This window comes from Homo sapiens, chromosome 7, assembly GCF_000001405.40.
Source record: "Homo sapiens chromosome 7, GRCh38.p14 Primary Assembly".
NCBI classification, from domain to species: Eukaryota; Metazoa; Chordata; class Mammalia; order Primates; family Hominidae; genus Homo; species Homo sapiens.
The window spans coordinates 39,501,830-39,523,519 of NC_000007.14; the positions used below are offsets into that span (position 1 = coordinate 39,501,830).

Consider the following 21,690-nt stretch of genomic DNA (forward strand, 5'->3'; position numbering starts at 1 on the left):
TTAGCTGTGCATGATGGCAGACACCTGTAATCCCAGCTACTTGGGAGGCTGAGGCAGGAGAATCACTTGAACCTGGGAGGCAGAGGTTGCAGTGAGCCAAGATTGCGCCATTGCACTCCAGCCTGGGTGACAGAGCAAAACTCTGTCTCAGAAAAAAAAAAAAAAAAAGAGTCTCCTTAAACATTCTGAAAGCATAGAGCTCTTGGTTATTCTTCTCGCCAAACTATACAGTGAAAATGTGGAAGTTTTAGGACTGGAAGATGAAAAGATGGTTTCTAGAGAAAGGTCTTACCCACTCTTAAGTAATATCCATATGTACCCTCTGAAAAATCACTGACTTATTTGAATCACTTGTATTCAATCTTTTGAATGACCAACTTCTGCCCAAATAACAGAATCCACAGGGAGGCAGTAAAACTTAGTAAGGCAGCCATAATCCCCCAGGTGGGCCATTTTCTGGTCTGGAATGTTTTGTCCTTAGCATTGTTTAGTGAGGGGTTAAAGAGATGTAACCCCTAGAGGGTTAGCACAGGCAGAATTGCAGACAGCCCAGAGCTCCATGAGGAGAACCTGCTCTCCTGCCACCTTTTCTTTGTCCTCTGGCTTCCCAGTCACACTCAAAAGGCTGGGGGTCATGGAGGCCACTAGAGAGCTGTGAGGGGAGCTGCCACAGAGTCCACTCTAGGTGCACAAATCACTATATACACACACACACACACGCTCTCTCTCTCTCTCTCTCTCTCTCTCTCTCCTTCTGAGATGCTTTCTCGGCTATGGAAAGGATAGCCATGCCGTTGGCGTCAGAGCTCAGTTCAACCCCGGCTATATCGCTCCCGCCTCCACTTTGGCTCACACAGTTCTACTTTTCCTAATTAACTTGACTCAATGTCCTTTCCCTTCTTTCCACCTCAACAGCACTTACCAGGCACACAGACAAACATTGTTCCTTGACAATATTTTTTGGAGGTCTTTGCTGTAAGTTGAAGCATGAAGCATCTCAGGAGATATAAGATTTGACATCAGACTGAACCTGAATCAAGCTCTGATTGGGAGACCCTTGGAAAAATTACTTAAACTTGCTCAGCTTAACTTACTGGCCCATTAGCCATCTGAGAGAGAGGCCTTTTTCCAAAGATGGTCTTTAGCACTGCTTCATAACAGGTGCTCAATGCATCTTAACCCTCCCCCTGCACTCTGGACCCTTCTCCATGTGCCTACTCCTTGTCTTTCCAACTATAGTGTGAGCAACTCCAATGGAGTGACCACTTCTGTTACCAGGCGCTTCTAAGTGAGCACGGCATGGTTTGATGTTAAAGATAAATGGGTCCAGATCCCAGCTGCCATTCTCTGCCCTTCCTGTGAAAGTTGGAACGAGTTATTTGACCTCTTGAAGTACCAAATTCCTTATCAACTGGGGATGAAATAATCATCATTCAAAGGGTTGATGTGAAAAATCCATGACATGAGTACCTAGCACATTAAGGGCACTGAGTAGGTGGCCCATAAAAGAATCATCTTTTTCCTAATAAATGTTCTTTCATTTTATAAACTGTATCTAAATAATGTTTCTGGGCCAGGTGTGGTGGCTCACACCAGTAATCTCAGCACTTTTGGAGTCTGAGGTGAGTGGATCACTTGAGGTCAGGAGTTCAAGACCAGCCTGATCAACATGGTAAAACCCCATCCACTAAAAATACAAAAGTTAGCCAGGCATGGTCATGGGCGCCTGTAGTCTCAGCTACTCAGGAGGCTGAGGCATGAGAATCGCTTGAACCTGGGAGGTGGAGGTTGCAGTGAGCCAAGACTGTGCCACTGCATTCCAGCCTCGGCAACAGAGTGAGACTCTGTCTCAAAAATGAAAGAGAGAGAGAGAGAGAGAGAGAGAGAGAGAGGGAAAGAAAGAAAGGAAGAGAAAAGAAAAGAAAAGAGAAAAGAAAGGAAGGAAGGAAAGAAGGAAAGGAAGGAAGGAGAGAGAAAGAAAGAAAGAAAGAAAGAAAGAAAGAAAGAAAGAAAGAAAGAAAGAAAGAAAGAAAGGAAGGAAGGAAGGAAGGAAGGAAGGAAGGAAGGAAGGAAAAGAAAAAGTTAATTTCTGGCAGCCCCTCAATACCAAGAAGGATGAAATTCACTTTTGAGTTTGTGATTAAAAGTTCTCCCAAAATATGATATCTCCCCATTCCTCGATCATTGCAGGTCCCTGGCCCAGAGAAGAGCAACTGGACGAAGCATACAGCAGTCTAAACCCAATTCATTGAATCAAAAGACAGCTATTTTTAGTATTTATCTTTCACTCCAATTTCTCCCTTTCTTTTCTCCCCAGAGTCATCTTTACGGATGTAGCAAGAAGTCAACCTTAAGAAAAAGTCCATTCACTCATTCACTGTTCTAAGTGTTGAAAGGGATATACAGATGAATTACAAAAGCAAGAAAAGAAGATTGGCTGGATTATGAAATTCCATAAAGAAAAGCTTGAGTAAATCTCACCCCCAAACTACATTTCCTCTCCAAAGCCAGACCAATGAAACTTTGGATGATAATAAGATTTCAGCCTTGAAGTTCATTTAAGGCATTTTTTAAAAGAATTAGTTTGTGAGCTTTTCTACTTTGTCTTATAAAAGACAGTGAACTTTATGTGTGACTTTCCATCAGAGTTTGCAGATGTAGCTCATGGGAGTTAATTACTTTTTCTCTTCAATTTCACCTAGCAAGATAAAACAGAGCTGCCCAAGAGTTTTCCTATAGCAGGGTGACTGGTCAATACCTTGCTACTTGCTCTGTCAATGCCATGAAAATATTGTTTAATAATTTAGGAACAACCATGTAATTTTCTTCCCTAGCAAGAGCAAATTAGGCACTTACTAAATAATTGACAAAAATACTTAATTCTAGGGATTTCTTGAGAATGTGCTATTATTCAAAAAGAATTTAAAATAAAATTTTCTTTCACCTATTCAACATGTTACTTTCATTTTCATGCCTGATCATATCTTGAAAGCTATATCCGAGTTTGTCCCCCCAGTCCTGATTTCCTTACACCAAGGTGGTCCACAAGTGAACATGTCAAGAATGCGTGTGCTGTCCTTGGTCAAGACCACTTGGAAAGGTGGCTGGGACTTAAGTGTGTTAGACAGACCCCCTCTCCTCCAGGCCTGTCCCCACCAGGGATGCAAACAGGTGCACCAAGAAGTTTGAGTCTTTAGAGTTTTAATCTCAAATCTCAAATGATGAGACATTCTCATCAGTGGTACTCAGACTTGGAACCCTTTGCCCTGGCCATCTGCCAAAGTGGCTGCTTACTCATCATCAGGCTCTTGGGCAGAGGTCTATCTGTTCAGTCAGGCATTCTAAATATCCCATTTGCGGACCTTCAGACAGTTTACTTGACACTTAACTACCAAAATGCCCTGGGTACACTTACGATGCCTAGGGCAGCATATTAACCCATGACTCTTTACAAGTTAAAAGGTTGGGGAACGAGTAGTACCAGGTCTTTCTGCCCCTATTTCAACAAGCAGCCATTTTCTAGAATGTTCTCTTCTCACTGTATTCTCCCAAAAGATCAAGTCCAATAATAATACTTTATTCAAATAAGAGCCACCTCTCTCTCTCTCTCTCTCTCTCTCTCTCTCTCTCTCTCCCTCTCTCTCTCTCTCTCCCCCTCTCCCTGTCCCTCCCTCCCTCTCTTTCCCCCCCAGTATTTCCCCCATTGACCTACGATTGGGGGAGAGCCTCAGTTTGCCTCCCCAGCACCATCTATACCATCTTCCTTCTGCCTGGCTCATGAACACTGCAGTCTCCCTAGGAGATAACATTTCTTCAGTTCTCATTATGTGCTGAGTACTGTCTAGCCCCACTGGCAGCAGAGTGAGGGGCTGTTCCAGAATCCTTAGTTATAGAGACCCAAAAGTAATTCTGTATTATTCTAGGGACTACCTTTATGGAGACTGATACACAAAACCAGAATTTCAGCAGAGGACGGTGTTCTAACAAGGCCTACCTCTTGGATTGTGAAATCCAGGCTACTTTTTACATAGGGCATCATGGTCATATATACACATTACTGCAATCAAAATAATTAAAGAGTACTTTCGTCTTTTCCTGAATCTCTCAAGGAACATAAACACACCCAATAGCACTTCTTTAAAAGTGTTGTTCTTTTCCCCTCTTATTGTCACACATCTTGTGGCCCTTCAGAAGTGTTTCCTCTACAAACCTACAAACCTCCCTTTCCTAATTCCATGCCCCAGGTGTTCTTGGCATCTGCCCTGTCCAGGCAGTTTTGGTTTTTGTTCCCCTCCCCTTTTCCTTCCCCGTCTCCAATCCACCTACCCTATCACTAAAGCCTGCGAACATGGTTGACAATAAAAGCCTAGAGTGATAAATACAAAACTTGTGTTCTAGTGAAGGAACACAGACAATAAATACATAAGCAGTAAACCAGAATTATCAGATAGAATATGTTTTCTGATAGACATGGTGCCACAAAGAAAACAGAAGATGGTGAAACAAGAGAGCTGGGAGTGGGGGGACAAGGCCACTGCAGATTAGAAACAGGAAAGACATTTCTGAGGACGGGATTTGAAAGCTGACATCTACGTGACAGGAGAAGGCTAGTCTTGCAAATATCTGGGAGAAAAGTTCCCTAGGAAAAAGGAACAGCTAGGGTAATGTGCTTAAAGTAGAAATAAGCTTAGCATGATTATACTCACATAGCAGAAGAGGAGAGAGATGCCTGAAACAATTTGGTAGAACTGCCTTCTTCTTTTTTTTAGTCTTCTAAAGAGAACCTGGTTTAATATGATTAAATAAAAAAGGTGTTCAGACCTTTAGGTGAACAATTAGGACAGTCTATAATATAAGATATATTACTGGGTTTTTCCAGTTGAATGCTCTGCATGAAATGATAGGCTGGGAGCAGTGGCTCACACCTGTAATCTCAGCACTTTGGGAGACGAGGTGGGTGGATCACTTGAGGTCAGGAGTTCGAGACCAGCCTGACCTACATGGTGAAACCCTGCCTCTACTAAAAATACAAAAATATTAACCAAATGTGGTGGTGCACGCCTGTAGTCCCAGCTACTATGGAGGCTGAGGCAAGAGAATCACTTGAACCTGGGAGGCAAAGGTTGCAGCGAGCCAAGATCGTGCCATTGCACTCCAGCCTGGGCAACAAGAGCAAAACTCCTTCAGAAAGAAGGAAAGAGAGAAAGAGAGAGAGAGAGAAGAGAGGAAGGAAGGGAGGGAAGGAAAGAGAGAGAAAGAGAGAAAGAAAGAAAGAAAGAAAGAAAGAAAGAAAGAAAGAAAGAAAGAAAGAAAGAAAGAAAGAAAAAGAAAGAAGGAAGAAAAGAAAGAGAGAGAAAAGAAAAGAGGAAAAAGAAAAGAAAGGAAAGGAAAAGAAAAAAGAAAAGAGAAAGGGAGAAAGGAAGGGAGGGAGAGAAGGAAATGTGGTAGTGCTGTGTTCTTGGCTAAATTGTGGCCCCAAAAATTTACGTGTTGAAGTCCTAGCCCCCAGTAACCTCAGAATGTTACTGTATTTATAGATTTATAGATAGGGCCTTTAAAGGGGCAATTAAGGTAAAATGAGGTCATATGGGTAGGCCCTAATCCAATATGGCTGGTGTACTGGAGATTAGGACACAGACACACACAGAGGAAAGATCATGTAAGAACATAGCAAGATGGCCATCTGCAAACCAGGGCCACAGAAGAAACCAACCCTGCTGATGCCTTGATCTTGAACTTGCAGCTTCCAGAATTGTGAGAACATGAAGTTCTGTTGTTTAAGCCACCCAGTATGTGCTATTTTGTTATGGCAGTCCTAGCAGACTACTAAGTGATGTTTAATGGAATCATTCGGATCATTTAAAAATCTCTGATGGTCACTTTTCCCCTTGACAGCCAGCCTAATTCATCAGGGAAAAAGAAACGGTTTAATGCATACAATTTGTTTTCTACTACAGTGTGCTGATGTGGTGGTGGTAAAAATGATTAAGTACCAAACATAACAAGCACAACTGTATTAGTTATCTATTACCACATAATAAATTCTCTCAAAACTTGCTGGCCTAAAACAGTAATACATGATTATTTCACAGTTACTGTGGCTTAGCTGAGTGGTTCTGGCTCAGAGCCTCTCGTGAAGTTACATTCATAGTGTTGGTTCATTCATCTCAAGGCTTGACAGACTTAATGAGGGCTGGAGGGTCCTCTTCCAGGATGGTGCTTTCACTTGGCTGTTGGCAGGAGGCCTCAGTTCCTCACCACGTGGACTCTTCCCAGGGCTGCATGAGTGTTCTCATGACATGGCAGAAGCTGGCTGGCTTCCACCAGAGCAGGCAATTCAAGAGAGCAAGACAGAGTGTCTTGTATGACAGTTTTTGAAGCTAGGAGGTCCAAGGTCAAGGGGGCGCATCTGGTGAGAGCCTCCTGGCTGGTAGGGACTCTCTGTGGTGTCCTGAGGAAGCAAAGGACGCCACATGGTTAGAGGGCTGAGCATGCACCACTTCCCTCTTTCACCTCCTCCTGTCAATGCCCGGAAGCTGAGGTGGAGCCCGCAAAGGAGGGGCTGGAGTAGACCTTACTACTCTTTACCAATGTTCTCTGCCGCACCCTACAGGGGGACTAAACTACCCACCCCACTCAACTCAGGTGCCACCATGTAACTTGTTAGGGCCAATGATGTGCAACATGTGTCATTTCCAGGTAAAAGTTTTACAGTCGAATTCTGCTTCCTCAGGTTCTTTCTCTTTCCCCTCTGCCAGGTCATCAGCAATGTTCCAGAAAGTGTCTGCTCTATTGGACTGGGTCCTGATGTGAAGAAGGGAATGAAGTGGAACAAAGCCCTTAGCCAACCCACCATGGAAGTAATGTGAACCAGAAATAAGCCTTTGTTGTTTTAACCACTGTGTTTGGGGGTTATTTGTTATTGTGACATAACTTCTCCCAACCTGATAATACAGAGTCCTTGAGCAATACCCTAAACTGATTTTAATTCTAAATAAAAGCATTTACCCCACTGGCCCCTCAGAACTCTCGCCCTCCAGCCACAATTATCTCTGAGAGGGAATATCACATGTCGCCCATCAAGAAGTCCTATTATGAGGCAGTTACCACACCACCCCGAACTGCACCCCCACCCCCCAGCCCCCTTGCCGTCTCTCTCACAGACTCCCTCTACCTTCTCTCTGAGGGATGCTGCCCTCCTCGTCAGCACTGCAGCTTCTGCAGCAACGTCACTTCCCACCAGGCCCTGCACACCGGCGGCTGTTCAGGATTCTGGGACACAGGTAGGAAGAATACAGCATCTTTCTCTCTCTTTTTGTGTTGTCTCTATTAGAAAGAATATGAGGCCAGTCATGGTGGCTCACACCTATAATCCCAGCAGTTTGGGAGGCAGACACGGTCAGATCACCTGAGGTCAGGAGTTCGAGACCAGCCTGGCCAACATGGCGAAACCCTGTCTCTACTAAAAATACAAAAATCAGCCAGGCATGGTGGTGCACACCTGTAGTTCCAGGTATTCTACTCAGGAGGCTGAGGCAGGAGCATTGCTTAAACCTGGGAGGCGGAGGTTGCAGTGAGCTGAGATTGCGCCACTGTGCTATGGCCTGAATGACAGAGTGAGACTCCATCTCAAAAAAAAGAAGAAGAATATGAAAATGGTGCTGCTTGTGTCTTCCAGGAATTTTAGATTAATCAGCTCTTTTGTTTGTTACTTGTGGCTTTCTGGTCTCCTCGTTCCTCCCTGGGACTGGGCCAGGAGGCGGAGCTGAGGGCTAGGTAGGAAGCCCTACTCAGAACTGCTCCCCCATCACGAGTGTGTCTGTGTCTGGCTCATTGGGCCGGACCATCCCTTCCTTTGATGAGTTCTTCCTTAAGAGGCTCTTTAGTCCCTCCTACAAATAGTATTCTAGCAAGCCTGCTCCACTAGAAGAGTCACCCATTGGTGAAGACAACTCAGGCATCAGTTATACCTCACAGATCTTCATATAGGGAGCTTACTTAACCATAAGGACCCCAGCTGCTGTGCTCTGAAATCCTTCATGACTTCAAGGCTATGGCCAAAGTCATACTTCCTATGGGCTTGCTATAGCCAACAACTCCATGCAACAGAAATACTAAGGTAGGCCTGTTCCTGGGAGACATGGAGCTCCCCTAACAAACAACTTTGCCTCAAAGACACCCAAACAACTGTGCTGAACATTTTCACCCTCCCTTCCTCCTTTCCTTCCCTTCTTCACACAGGATCAGACTTGCTTTGTGGTCTGATGGTTCTCCCGGCTTTATTCAGAGCCTTCTGTTTTCCCTCACACAGGTGTTTCCTCCTGATAAGTCATTACACTTTTAGTGCTTACTTCGCATCTGCCTCTCAAAGCACCTTAAACTAACATGCCCTGCCACAGTACTGAATATTTAGTGACAAAAGTGGAACATCTATCAGTTGACAGAAGCATCACAGTATCATTAATTTGAAATTCCCCAACTAATAAAAAATTAACCAGTAATCATTGTTTTAGAAAAACAAACACTATAAATAAGATTCATTGGATCTTATTTAATGGATGAAGCTGAAAACCATCATTCTCAGTAAACTATCACAAGGACAAAAAAACAAACATAGCGTGTTCTCACTCATAGGTGGGAATTGAACGATGAGAACACCTGGACACAGGAAGGGGGACATCACACACCGGGGCCTGTTGTGGGGGAGGTGGGGGGGGGTAGCGTTAGGAGATATACCTAATGTTAAATGACGAGTTAATGGGTGCAGCACACCAACATGGCACATGTATACATATGTAACAAACCTGCACGTTGTGCACATGTACCCTAGAATTTAAAGTATAATAATAAAAAGAAATTTAAAAAAAAAACAAAAACATGAAAGGGCAAAGAGAGAACAGTGACTGCCACCATTAATGTATTTGGCTCTTGCAAAAATGTAACATAGCTGTATTAGTCCATTTTCACACTGCTATAAAGAACTGAGACTGGGTTATTTAAAAAGAAAATGAGGTTTAATTGACTCACAGTTCCACATGACTGGGGAAGCCTCAGGAAACTTACAGTTGTGGTGGAAGATGAAGGAGAAAGAAAGCACATCTTTCATGGTGGCAGGAGAGAGAGCGTGGGCAAAGGGGGAAGTACCACACTTTAAAACCAGCAGATCTTGTGAAATCTTGTGAGTGAGTGGTCTCACTCACCATTACAAGAACAGCAAGGGGGAAATCTGCCCTGTGATCCAATCACTTCCCACCAGGCCCCTCCTTCGACACATGGGGATAACAATTCAAGATAAGATTTGGATGGGGACACAGAGCCAAACCATATCAATAGCCCATGCTCCTATTATCACCAGACTCATCTAGAGACAAGGAGAAGTAAAACACAAGATTACAGGATGAGTCACCCATCGAACATCCATACATCTTCTTGGTATGCAGGCTAACTAAGAGCTAAAGGTATTTTCTTGGTCAACTTAGTGAAGTAAATGGTCAGTTAAGCAAAGTAATTAGATTTCTATTCAGAAGAATTTTGATTTCCAAACAGGAACATCATATAGAGAGTTTGTCAAGCTTACTTGATCTTGGAACAGTCTTAATAGCTTGAGAAACTCTAATGTTTGGCACAACACAATTCAGGAAACCTTGCCCTGGAGAGATTAAATTGAGATGTCGCTTCTCATACATAGTCTCTCCCTCACACCTATTCAATGCCAGCATGGGCTAAGAGCTGAAATCTCTGGCTGGTTTCATGAAGTTACATCTCCCTACCTGTTTCCAAGTTGTTTTCCTGGATATAACCTTTCCTTTCCCCTTAGTTCCCAGCTGATTGGTCCAGCCTGGATCATCTCCATCCCTGCATAGGAGCCACTGAGCTGGCTTGTTTCGATCCATGTAGTCAAATACTCATTCAGAAGGAGCTCAGAAGTATTCTAGACAGTGCTGGTCTCCAGGCCGAACCACCGCCAAGCCACAGGCAGTCTCCTTATAGCAAAGCTCTTAAAGCTGTTCCTGGATAAATGTTCCAAAATCATTTCACACTGGGCTGAAGGTTAAAAATAGAATGTGCCCATGGATAAACAGGCCATTTATAAGACTAATTAATGAATTCATTCCAAACCTCAGAGCTACACTCCAAAGGCAACTCACAACTCCGATATCCCACCCCAACCTTCTTCACCAGCCAATTCTATGTTTCCAGTGGTAACAACCTGGCAAGCCTGGAGCAGTGCTGACAAGAGAGATTATCAGAGAAGTCCCTCTAACAGAGAATGTGTCTCCATCCATTAGATGAGTTGGGCTTATCAGAACCCAAAACTTATCAGTAGAGCTTACAATCTCTATTAACCGCCATCTATAGACCTAACACTACTTGCCTTCAAAGCACCATTGTTGGCCAGCGCAGTGGTTCACACCTGTAATCCCAGCACTTTGGGGAGGCAGGTGGATCACTGGAGGTCAGGTGTTTGAGACCAGCCTGGCCAACATGGCAAAACCCCATCTCTACTAAAAATACAAAAAAAAAAAAATAGCAGTTATGGTGGTGGGTGCCTGTAGTCCCAGCTACTCTGGAGGCTGAAGTACAAGAATTGCTTGAAACCAGGAGCTGGAGGTTGCAGTGAGCTGAGATTGCACCACTGCTCACACCACCACCACCACAACAACAAAACCACCACCACAACAACAAAAACCCAAAACACCATTGTTTAATAAATAAATTTCTTGGGACACAATATTTTCTTTTTTTTTCTTGAGAAGGAGTCTCCCTCTGTCACCCAGGCTGGAGTGCAGTGGCGTGATCTCCGCTCACTGCAACCTCCGCCTCCTGGGTTCAAGTGATTCTCCTGCCTCAGCCTCCTGAGTAGCTGGGATTACAGGCGCGTGCCACCATACCTGGCTAATGTTTGTATTTTTAGTAAAGACGGGTTTCACCATTTTGGTCAGGCTGGTCTCGAACTCCTGATTTCGTGATCTGCCTGCCTCAGCCTCCCAAAGTGCTAGGATTACAGGCATGAGCCACCGTGCCTGGCCGGGACACAATATTTTTAATTTTTGTTTTTGTTTGAGGCAGGTTCTTGTTCTGTTGCCCAGGCTGGAGTGCAGTGGTGCAATCATAGCTCACTGCAACCTCCAACTCCACTCCAGCAGTCCTCTGGCCATGGCCTCCCAAAGTGCTGAGATTATAGGTGTGAGCCACTATACCTGGCCTATATTTTACAATTTGAATATAGACTTTCCAGAAATATTTCACTGTGAAAGAGCATGACTATTAAGGGCCCACAATTGCTTCAGAGTGGAAATGCAATTCAGATTCTTAAGCCATAAATATTAGGGTAAGTCTTTCACCTAGTATGCTTATACTGACATTCACAAGGAAAAGCAGAAATACAGTATTTGGGTTATAATTTTGTCTAAGGTGGCTGCACAGCTGAAGACTAGCAATGTAGACCAATGTCGTCATCACTAACCTGGGAAAATGACAAGCCTCTGTACCTCCATCTTCTAATCCACAAAACAGAGAGCATCACAAGCGCTCCAACCACCTTACAGGTTCTACACAGAATAATCATACACAAGTCGGTCAAGTTTATCTGTGATTCCCCAGCCCCTAAGAGTTGTCCCAAACACAAAGTTTTTATTTGTTTGAAAGCTTTGCTAATGAGGCCAGGTACAGTGGCTCACACCTGTAATCCCAGCACTTTGGGAGGCCGAGCCGAGCGGATCACTTGGGGACAGAAGTTGGAGACCAACCTGGCGAACATAGCAAAACTCTGTCTGCTAAAAATACAAAAAATTAGCCTGTCGTGGGGTGCGTGCCTGTAATCCCAGCTACTCGGGAGGCTGAGGCATGAGAATCACTTGAACCTGGGAGGCAGAAGTGACAGTGAGCCGAGATCGCGCCACTCACTGCACTCCAGCCTGGGAAACAGTAAGACTCTGTCCCCACCACCCCCACAAAAAAAAAAAAAAGAAGAAGAAGAAAACAAAATAAAAAAAGCTTTGCTAATGAGGGAGAATAGTGAAAGTTAAAACAGAAGGAAATTATAAATAATAATAATAAATAATAAAAATAATAAAATAATAAAAAACATCATACTTCTTATTTCCCAATCTTACCCAGAAGAATAAAATATTTAATTACTAATTTAACACCCAGACTGAGATATGTGGCTCTGAAAAGACTGCAGGCGCATGCAAAGTCTCATTTGCTAATGAAACAGCATCTAGCAAGGGTGCCACCATGGAATTAAAGGTCCAGGGATGCTTACCTTCTGGCTGGTGTCTGAGCTGCAGAAAAGAATCTCTGCATCTCCAAAAAGAAAAAAAAAAGAGTTATAAAAATAAAGCCACCATTACAAGAGGGCTGAACAAATATCCTAGTCGGGTACCTGCCTCTGGCTCCGAATAAAAGAATGCAATATATATCCCAGCAGTAGAAACAACTCCACAGTGCTGGCTTGGGCCCTCTCTCCCATTGCAAGTGATTATGACTACCCTTCACTTCACAGCTGCCCCAGTCCCACCCACCACACTCACACTCACACTCACACTCATACTCACACTTTCTATTCCAAAAGACCTGAGCAGGGTAGTCATTAGACCAAGCAACATTCAGAAATAGCTTCAAAATCAAGCTTCATATCTTTTTCCTTGGATCCCCCTGGCATGGCTACATAAAATACCTTATACGGATATGGAGGTGCCTGGAGAGAGCAGAACTTTCATATTTGGGTGATGATAGGTACAGTATTAAATTTAAAAAAAACAACAATCCAGATGGTTCAGCTAATAGAGTCACAACAGTAAGCCCATATCATACCAGAGGGGACTAAGATTACTAAGAGAGAAGTAAAATGCCTCAGGATTAAGCAAAGCTCTAGTTGTTTCGTTCTGCTAGGAAAATCTCAATGGAGCTGCATGTTTTAACTTCAAAAATTACTCAACAAAAACAAGTAAGGATGAAGGGAGAGAGAGTGGGGAGAGAGGGAGACAGACAGAATTTGATCACAAAAAGAGTTGGAAAAATTGTTGAAGATAGTTGCACAGAATTAGAGGCACAGGACCCATTCTTCTACCTACAAATGAAGTGCTGTTATTACCCATATATATTCAGCAATGCCAGAGAATTTGCCAATATTTTGGATAATCACAAAAGGGTGTCCCATCTTTCTCACTCTATCACGGTGGAAATTAGAAAGTTTATGTGGTGTTCTAAATCATCACTTAATTTTTAATCAAGGTATGTTTACAATATAAAGTTTATTCATAAGCAGTATAAATGGGGTTTGATTCTCACAAAGAAAATGGCAATTAATCATTAAGTCTCTTTTGCTTACGTAGGTGAGAACTAAGAGTGATTTTTGCATTTTGCATGCTAGCTTCACACCTCACTTTGTTATTTTCCTGTTCTCATTTTGTAAGCCCTGATTCCAATTGCTTTTTCTTTTTTTTTTTTTTTTCACACTTTTTCACAAGAAGTAGAGAGAGGATCTCACTGTGGTGCCCAGGCTGGTCTTGGACTCCTGGGCTCAAGCAATCCATCCACCTCAGCCTCCCAAAGTGCTAGGATTACAGGCATGAGCCACCAAGCCTGGCCTCTAATTGCTTTTTCTAATATTATATATTGTATTTAATTTTGTTCACCACATTTAAAATAATTTTTAAAGGCTTAAACCATATGGCTTATATTTAGCTGTGGCTTAAAACATATTGCTAAATCCCTTTTGGTTAACGTTTGTTACATTCCAGAATCATACAATGCATGTTCATTTATGATATCACAGATAAAATCAACTGCCAGGGGAAGTTAAACTATAATAGCAGTTCTCAAAGTGTGGCCCCGAACTAGCAGCTCAGCCTCACTTGAAGATTTATTACAAACACAAATTCTAAGGTCCCACCCCAGACCTACTGCTTCAGTTTTTTATCTCTGCATAGGTTACCACGAAACACGCACATGCATTATCTCACAGTTTCCATGGATCAGGAGTCAGGATACAGTTACTGGATCCTCTACTTGGGATGTCCTCAGGCTGAAATCAAGGTAGGGCTGCAATCTCCCCAGAGGCTTCAGGTTCCATATTCCCTGGCCATGGGAAAAACTTAGCTCCTTGTGGTTATAGGACTGAGGTCCTCACTTTCTTGCTGACTGGCAGCCAGGGCCTATTCTCAGCTCCTAGCGGCCACCTGCCACTCCCTGTCACGTGGTCTTCTTCATAATCTGGCCATTTGCTCCTTCAAGGCCAGTAGGAAGTTTTTCCTGCTCTGAATCTCTCCACTCTGCTAAGATGGAGCCATAAAGTAATGTAACGTAACTTAACATAATGCTGATGCTCTTATCACCTTTGTCATATAACCTAATCAAGAAAGTGACGTCCCATCCCATTCCCAGGCCCTGCTAACCCTCAGGAGAGGAGACCACACTGGGTGTGTACACCAGGGGGTAGGAATCGTGGGGGCCATCTCAGAACTCTACCTGCCACACCTACTGAATTCGAGTGACCAATCAGAGATCCCAGATGATTTCCCCATTCTTCCCAACCCTTCAGCAGAGACTGAGAAACTGAGGGAGACAGAAACATTTAAAGATCGGTCAAATGAATGCTCACTTAGTGCTTCCAAAGAAACTTCTCCCCCAAAAAATATTCAGCCACCTTGAGTTTATGGGTACATCCTGCTGTGTGTGGGAATTCAGCCCTCCCCCCCGACAGCTGAAAGACCAGATCAATCAGGGGGTTAATTATACAGATCATTTTCCTGGCTCCCACGGGCATAAAGGTTATAGATGGCTGCATATTTATGCAGCCGCTGTTAAAAATTCAACCGCAGCATTTATTTCAATGAACTCCTTTGACTACATGTTCAACAGATGCACTGAGGGACTACATAAAACATTACCTCTATTAGTTCAAATTTTCTGACTCCTTAAAAGCTTCTGGTAACTGAAGGAAAAATGCATCTGTAATATGTCCCTTGCCATTACAAATACATTCATTAAAATACAAACAGCTTGACAATACTAAGTGAGCATTAAGCACGTGCGTGCATGTGCAAGCCTGCTCTCGCTCACACACATGCACACACACACACACACAGACAACAGCTTGAATGTGGCAATTTTTAAATAGCACATTATGTTTAAGACTTTACAGTTATTAACAGAACCAGAGAATATATCTATCAAACTATCAAAATGCCATTTTAAATTGTAGTGATCCCTTTAATGTCTTCGATGTTTTCTAAGAACCCTTTAATCCCACATGGATGGTGCCACCTGTGCCATCCCCTGAGAACAGTAACTGCTTCCACTCTACAGGACTCTGTGCAGACAGAAGTGAGGCATGAGTTCCTGGGGGTCCTTGGGATGCCCCTGCCCAATTTCCAGCCCCAGATCTCCTCCCAGATGGTGGTAGTCTATAGAACAATATTAATTCATAAGGGTTGGTGCCACTCAAAATCTTTCCCAAAATCTACTCTGGGAGAAGTGCCCACAAAGATCAAGGCCCTTGTCAGAGAGGTGACTGACACAGAAGGAAGTTGCCTTTGAAAGGAGAATAAAAGACATGCCTTTCAACACTGTCTGCAGCAGCTTTGCCAAGACACGACACAAAGTCCAGATCACCTCACCTCTTCCGGAGTGCCTATGCTACCTCACCCTGGCTATTTAACCCAATAGACTTAGAGAGGGCAGCTGATCACAACCACTTCAGGACGACATACTCAGAGTGCTTTTCTGGACCTGCCACCCTAGTGTGATGCTGTCTCTTTGTAACCATCTAATAGCAAGTTGCCTCAAAGGGAACCATTGTGCAAAAGTGTGAAGGGACTGGCTGCTAAAATAATAACCTAGCAGACACGACCACCATGAGGGAAACGGCTTCGCCTACGGTGCATTCACCGTGTGGTATGTGTACTTCTACTCATTGGAACTGAGCTGGTGTTGTCCAGTCATTCTGCTCCTCATAATAAACAAAGAGTGCCAGGGGCTCTCCAGACCCAAAGGGAAGAGCTTGCAAGCTCAGTTCCAATGAGTAGAAGTACACATACCACATGGTGAATGCAAAGTCCCCTGTCCATTAGAAAGGCTGGATCTGAGGACAGTAAGTAAGGGGCTGTCAATATAGGCAAGTGATCCCTCTTTCCCAGTGCTGACTAAGGTGGGGGCAACATCTGCCTTGCATTACATTCATTTTGCTGCTGAGAAACTGACACCCAAACCGTTTACACCACAGCACATCAGCGGCGACACCAAGACTCACGTTTGGTCTCCTAATACCATGTTCATTTTTCCATGTGATTTTCCCATCTTAAACCTATTTATACTTCAGTCTAGATGAGCCCATGTTTATAGAATCCTTTTGAGGGCTTGAATAAATGAAAACCTAGAAAGGTGGAGTATGTTTTCCTGTAGAATCACTGGCTATCTGTGGGAAGAAGAGATATTCTTTAACACTTTTTTTTTTTCCCTCAGACAGGGTCTCGCTTTGTCACTTAGGCCAGAGTGCAGTGACATGGTCATAGCTCGCTGCAGCCTCAAACTCCTAGACTCAAGCGATTTTCCTGCCTCAACCTCCTGAGTAGCTAGGAATACAGCTGTGTGCCACCATGTCCAGATAATTTTTGCATATTTTTTCTTTTGAGAGACAGAGTCTCACTATGTTCGTTACTCCTGGCCTCAAGTGATTCTCCCACCTCAGCCTCCCAAAGCACTGAGATTACAGGCATGAGCCATTACACCCAGCCTCATCACCACATTTCCAACCTTAGGATCAACTGTTGAAAAACTAATAATACCCCTTCTTTGATCTTACAGTTCTTACAGGCTGAATGAATTCCATTTAGCAGCAAAATATCTTAATGGTTTCACATGAGAATGTTGAAATAAATGAAACAAACACAGAAGGCCTAGGAGGAGAAAGCCTCTCCCGGTTGGCCAAGGAACGACCTGATCTCCAGGTTACGTGAAGCAAAATGCTTAGAACTAAGCCAGAGACATTGGGACACTTAGCCATTCCCACCGCCTTCTTCTCTCCCTTGTCTCATGGAGGTCCTTGAAATAAGGAGGGAATGGAGTGGGGACAGAAGGGATAAATTGCTTCATTCTAAGCCCACAATGCAATTCCTGGTGCTACTGTACTTGGAATACTGCACTCAGGAGTTTCCATGATCAGCCTCCCTAAGACAGCAGAAAAATTCCATAAACAGGGAATGGCAGCAACATCTCGCTCTATGTGGATGCCTGGGTCAGACTGGGTTAGACTGGCTGGTGGATTGCTGACATAAGTGAATTACTTGGCGCAAACCTTGTATCACAAATGGCCCGTAGTGATGCGTATTGCAAGAGATTTATGTAAATTGAGCAAGATACTTAGCTATTGGTCTGGTTTTTTAGTAGACTTGACTTTCAGAAAAGAAAGAGCTGATGGTAGAAATCTCAGGCACTTTTTTAAACATCTTTTCTTTCTCAATCTACCTCCGAAAGTCGCTTTCCATAAAGCCTCCCTCTCAATGTCCCAGTAACTCTGCCCAAGGAAGGAGCCTCCCCTGTGCCTGACTCCTTGCAGGAACTGTTGCCATTCTTTAATTTGGCAGCTTCTGTTTCCCAGGCTCCCGGGGTTTTACGTTTACTTGCAGCGAGGCTTTTTACTTCACTTCCTGTTCTTTCTCCTGCTATCCCCTTAGAAAGCCGGTGGAAGGATTTTATTTTTATTCTTATATCTATGGTCTCCATTCTGAGATTTTATCCTCCTGGTAACAGCCAGAGAGAAAAACACTTACGAGCACATTGGAAATGTCTAGGAAAGGGGAAGTGCATTAAATAATAAACCCCAAACTGGTGGGAAGGATTTTGCACTGTCTACTCCCGAGGCAAGGAATTCTGGGAGATGTTTTCTCGTTTGGCTACCTTTGTCCAGTCTCCATTCCTGGATACCTACAAAGGTGAGAGCAAGACTAAACGCATTCCAAAAAGCAATTTCATGTGATATTTGTTTTCACTTTTCTTTAGAAAAACTATGGGGCCTTTTGTTCACTTGAGACCACAGTAAGGTTACTGTGTCTACCTTTAGGGAGTTCAACTTTCCAGGGAGGGAAACTAGACAATGTGACAGGCGCAATCCTAGCATCTGTTCGTAACAGGGCATAGGAAGGCAAATGCTTGTCCTTCCTTCCTGTAACACAGCCATTAAACCAGGAGCATCGCCCTTCCCCGGCCCTCAGGTAAGAGGACCAAATACCGTAGCCGTTTCCAATTTCAGTCCTTTAGCGCCACCTGGTGCTAACTACTCTATCACGCTTTTATCCAATAACTACCTTTGTAAATTTCCTTTCAAAAGTTCTGGCCGGGCGCGGTGGCTCACGCTTGTAATCCCAGCACTTTGTGAGGGGTCAGGAGTTCGAGACCAGCTTGACCAACATGGTGAAACCCTGTCTCTACTAAAAATACAAAAATTAGCCGGGTGTGGTGGCGCGCGCCTGTAATCCCAGCTATTCAGGAGGCTGAGGCAGGAGAATTACTTGAACCCAGAAGGCAGAGGTTGCAGTGAGCCGAGATCATGCCGCTGCACTCCAGCCTGGGTGACAGAGCAAGACTTTGTCTCAAAAAAAAAAAAAAAAAAAAGTCCTAACGACACAAATGTTTGATTTTAACACAGTGCCAAGTTCACATACGTAGGCAAAGTCCAGATTAAAGGACAATTTTAGCATTGAGTTCATTTAGTGAATCACAGGGCCTTGGCACACAGCAAACATGAGAGCAATCTTAGTTATCTCTATTGTCATGGCTGTTGTTACCAAAAGAATTCAAAAGAGGGGAATTTAGGAAAATTTATAGTGTTTAAGATATAGTAGCTTTTTCAAAATATCAATGAAGTGCCGTTTATGCGGCACAAGTAATATTTCCTTGAAAATCTAATAAATATAGTGTTACTTATTAAAGAGATTCTACCTTGAGTAATTAAACTGCTTGAAGAAAGGCAAGATTTCTCAACTTGAACTTTATCCATAACTCAGGGTTAACCAATATGCCCAGTTTGTTTCTTTTTATATTTTAGAATATTCCTGCCAGACATGGTGGCTCACGCCTGTAATCCCAGCACTTTGGGAGGCCAAGGCAGGCGGATCATGAGGTCAGGAGTTCGAGACCAGCCTGGCCAACATGGTGAAACCCCTTCTCTATTAAAAATACAAAAATTAGCAGGGCGTGGTAGGGCGCGCCTGTAATCCCAGCTACTCTGGAGGCTGAAGCAGGAGAATCACTTGCACCCGGAGGCAGAGGTTGCAGTGAGCCGAGATCATGCCACTGCACTCCAGCCTAGGTGACAGAGCAAGACTCTGTCTCAAAAAAAAAGAATATTCCTATAAGACAGTCAATGCCCATCCTTCCCTGAGAAAACACAATAAATAATATAACTTTTTATTGTTTCGTAATTATCTAGGTGCCTTGAAGTTATCATTCTGAAAATAAAAGTATATAGTCTGAAGGGCTGCACCTATTCGAGATGTATTTGTTTTATCATTATACTTGTTCCTAAAATTAAATGAGCGAAATGTTTCTAAATTAAAGCCAAACTATGCTACACAGGAATGGACTTTGTAAGTGAATCCATATTTGTAAATTCTCACACATAATCAGTCCCAGGAACTCCAGGCCTGAGAGAAATTACTGAAGGCTCTGATCTGAGCTAACCACTGTGAAAATAGGAAAAACTCGAAAAATAGGTTCTAGAGTGGTGTGTAGTTCCAAATGGAGCAGGAAAACTAAGAGGGGATTGGTTAAACAAATATGATTATAATCAAAATAACTTTTTAAGCACTTACTATTTGCCCAGCATTGTCCTCAATGATTCACATGTGTCACTTCGTTTAATCTTCACAACTTCATGAGGCTGTTACAATGCCTGATCCTTGCTGCAAATTAGCTCATACACGGTTAGTAAACAAGGGAGTGATGTTTATAACACATCTTGTAGTTCATATTTGATTCTTCCCAGTACATTAATGTTTTAAAATGATCTCATGGCCAGGCGCAGTGTCTCATGCCTGTAATCCCAGCATTTTGGGAGGTTGAGGCGGGTGGATCACCTGAGGTCAGGAGTTCAAGACCAGCCTGGCCAACATGGTGAAACCCCGTCTCTACTTAAAAAAAAAAAATTAGCCAGGTGTGCTGGTGGACGCCTGTAATCCCAGCCACTTGAGAGGCTGAGGCAGGATGAGGCAGGAGAATTGCCGGAACCCAGGAGGCGGAGGTTGTAGTGAGCCGAGATTGCGCCACCGCACTCCAGCCTGGGCAACAAGAGCAAAACTCCATCTCAGAAAAAAAAAAGAAAAAAAAAAGATCTCACAAGTTTTCTCACAATGAAAGAAGAAGAGGCATGATAATAAATGAAGACTTAAAAAAAATTAAAAGTGCATCGAAGTACTTTTTCTTAGTGCAAGTGAAGGCTGGTTTAAAGACTTCAAGAACCACTAGGTCATGGCCAGGCATGGTGGCTCATGCCTGTAATCCCAGCATTTTGGGAGGCTGAGGCGGGCAGATCACTTGAGCCCAGGAGTTTGAGACCAGCCTGGCCAACATGGCAAGACCCTGTCTCTACTAAAAATACAAAAATTAGCTTGGGGTGGTGGTGCACACCTGTGGTCTTAGCTCTTCGGGAGGCTTAGGTGGGAGGATGGCTTGAGCCCAGCAGATCGAGGCTGCAGTGAACTCTGATGATGTCACTCCAGCCTAGGTGACAGTAAAACCCTGTTTCAAAAAAAAAAAGAAGGAAGGGAAGGGAGGGAAGGGAAGGGATGGGGAGGAAGAAAGAAAGAAAAGAAAAGAGAAAGGGGGGGACGGAGGGAGGGAGGCAGGAAGGAAAAGAGAACCACTGAGTTTTCTGTTATGTATATCCATTTGGCAAAGCTACAAGTGTTGATGAAAAAGCTGTGAAAAAGTTAGCTTCCGTATTAAAGTGGTAGATTAGTGATGATTAGAAGCATGCCCTCCAGCACCTTCAACTGAGGCACAAGCCCAGTGGTGAAGGCTGCAAACGGTTGATTGCCTGAGATTCCAGCTGCCAATTCCTGCATAGAACCGTGCAAGTACTTTCATCAGGAGTGTTACTGTTTCTGTGAGTACTCTGATTACACAGTTCCACAGGTTTCGTGTGGTTTTCCCAGCACTATTTTTCCCATTGGTCCTGTTATTTTTAGTGCATGATGTTTTTATAATTAAAAAATAATAATTTTTTTTAATTATACTTTAAGTTCTAGGGTACATGTGCACAACGTACAGGTTTGTTACATAGGTATACATGTGCCATGTTAGTTTGCTGCAGCCATTAACTCGTCATTTACATTGGGTATTTCTCCTAATGCTATCCCTCCCCCAGCCCCCCACCACATGACAGGCCCTGGTGTGTGATGTTCCCCTCCCTTGTGTCCAAGTGTTCTTGTTCAATTCCCACCAATGAGTGAGAACATGCAGTGTTTGGTTTTCTGTCCTCGTGATAGTTTGCTCAGAATAATGGTTTCCAGCTTCATCCGTGTCCCTGCAAAGGACATGAACTCATCCTTTTTTATGGCTGCATAGTATTCTATGGTGTATATGTGCCACATTTTCTTAATCCAGTACATCATTGATGGGCATTTGGGTTGGTTCCAAGTCTTTGCTATTGTGAACAGTGCCGCAATAAACATATGTGTGCATGTG

General features: G+C 43.5%; 1 long non-coding RNA gene across 2 annotated transcripts, besides 1 other annotated feature; it reads right to left on the bottom strand.

Annotated features, from left to right (window-relative positions):
• Nucleotides 1-5,908: 5,908 nt before the first annotated feature.
• Nucleotides 5,909-20,673, bottom strand: LOC105375237 (uncharacterized). 2 transcript variants are annotated; one of them, XR_927183.2, is made up of 4 exons: nt 20,632-20,673; nt 19,818-19,907; nt 7,175-7,326; nt 5,909-6,451 (listed from the first exon to the last, which is right to left on the bottom strand). It is a non-coding gene; the product is annotated as an uncharacterized LOC105375237 (long non-coding RNA). The 2 variants fall into 2 exon arrangements; XR_001745174.1 differs by lacking the exons at nt 5,909-6,451; nt 7,175-7,326 and adding exons at nt 11,482-11,552; nt 12,269-12,309.
• Nucleotides 6,186-7,385: an enhancer, noted in NCBI's record as "CDK7 strongly-dependent group 2 enhancer chr7:39547614-39548813 (GRCh37/hg19 assembly coordinates)". NCBI's record gives its function as "activates an origin of replication core promoter dependent on BRD2, BRD4, P300/CBP, MED14 and CDK7 cofactors, with strong dependence on CDK7, by STARR-seq in HCT116 cells {active_cell/tissue: HCT116}" and the evidence as "EXISTENCE:reporter gene assay evidence [ECO:0000049][PMID:35650434]".
• Nucleotides 20,674-21,690: the final 1,017 nt, after the last annotated feature.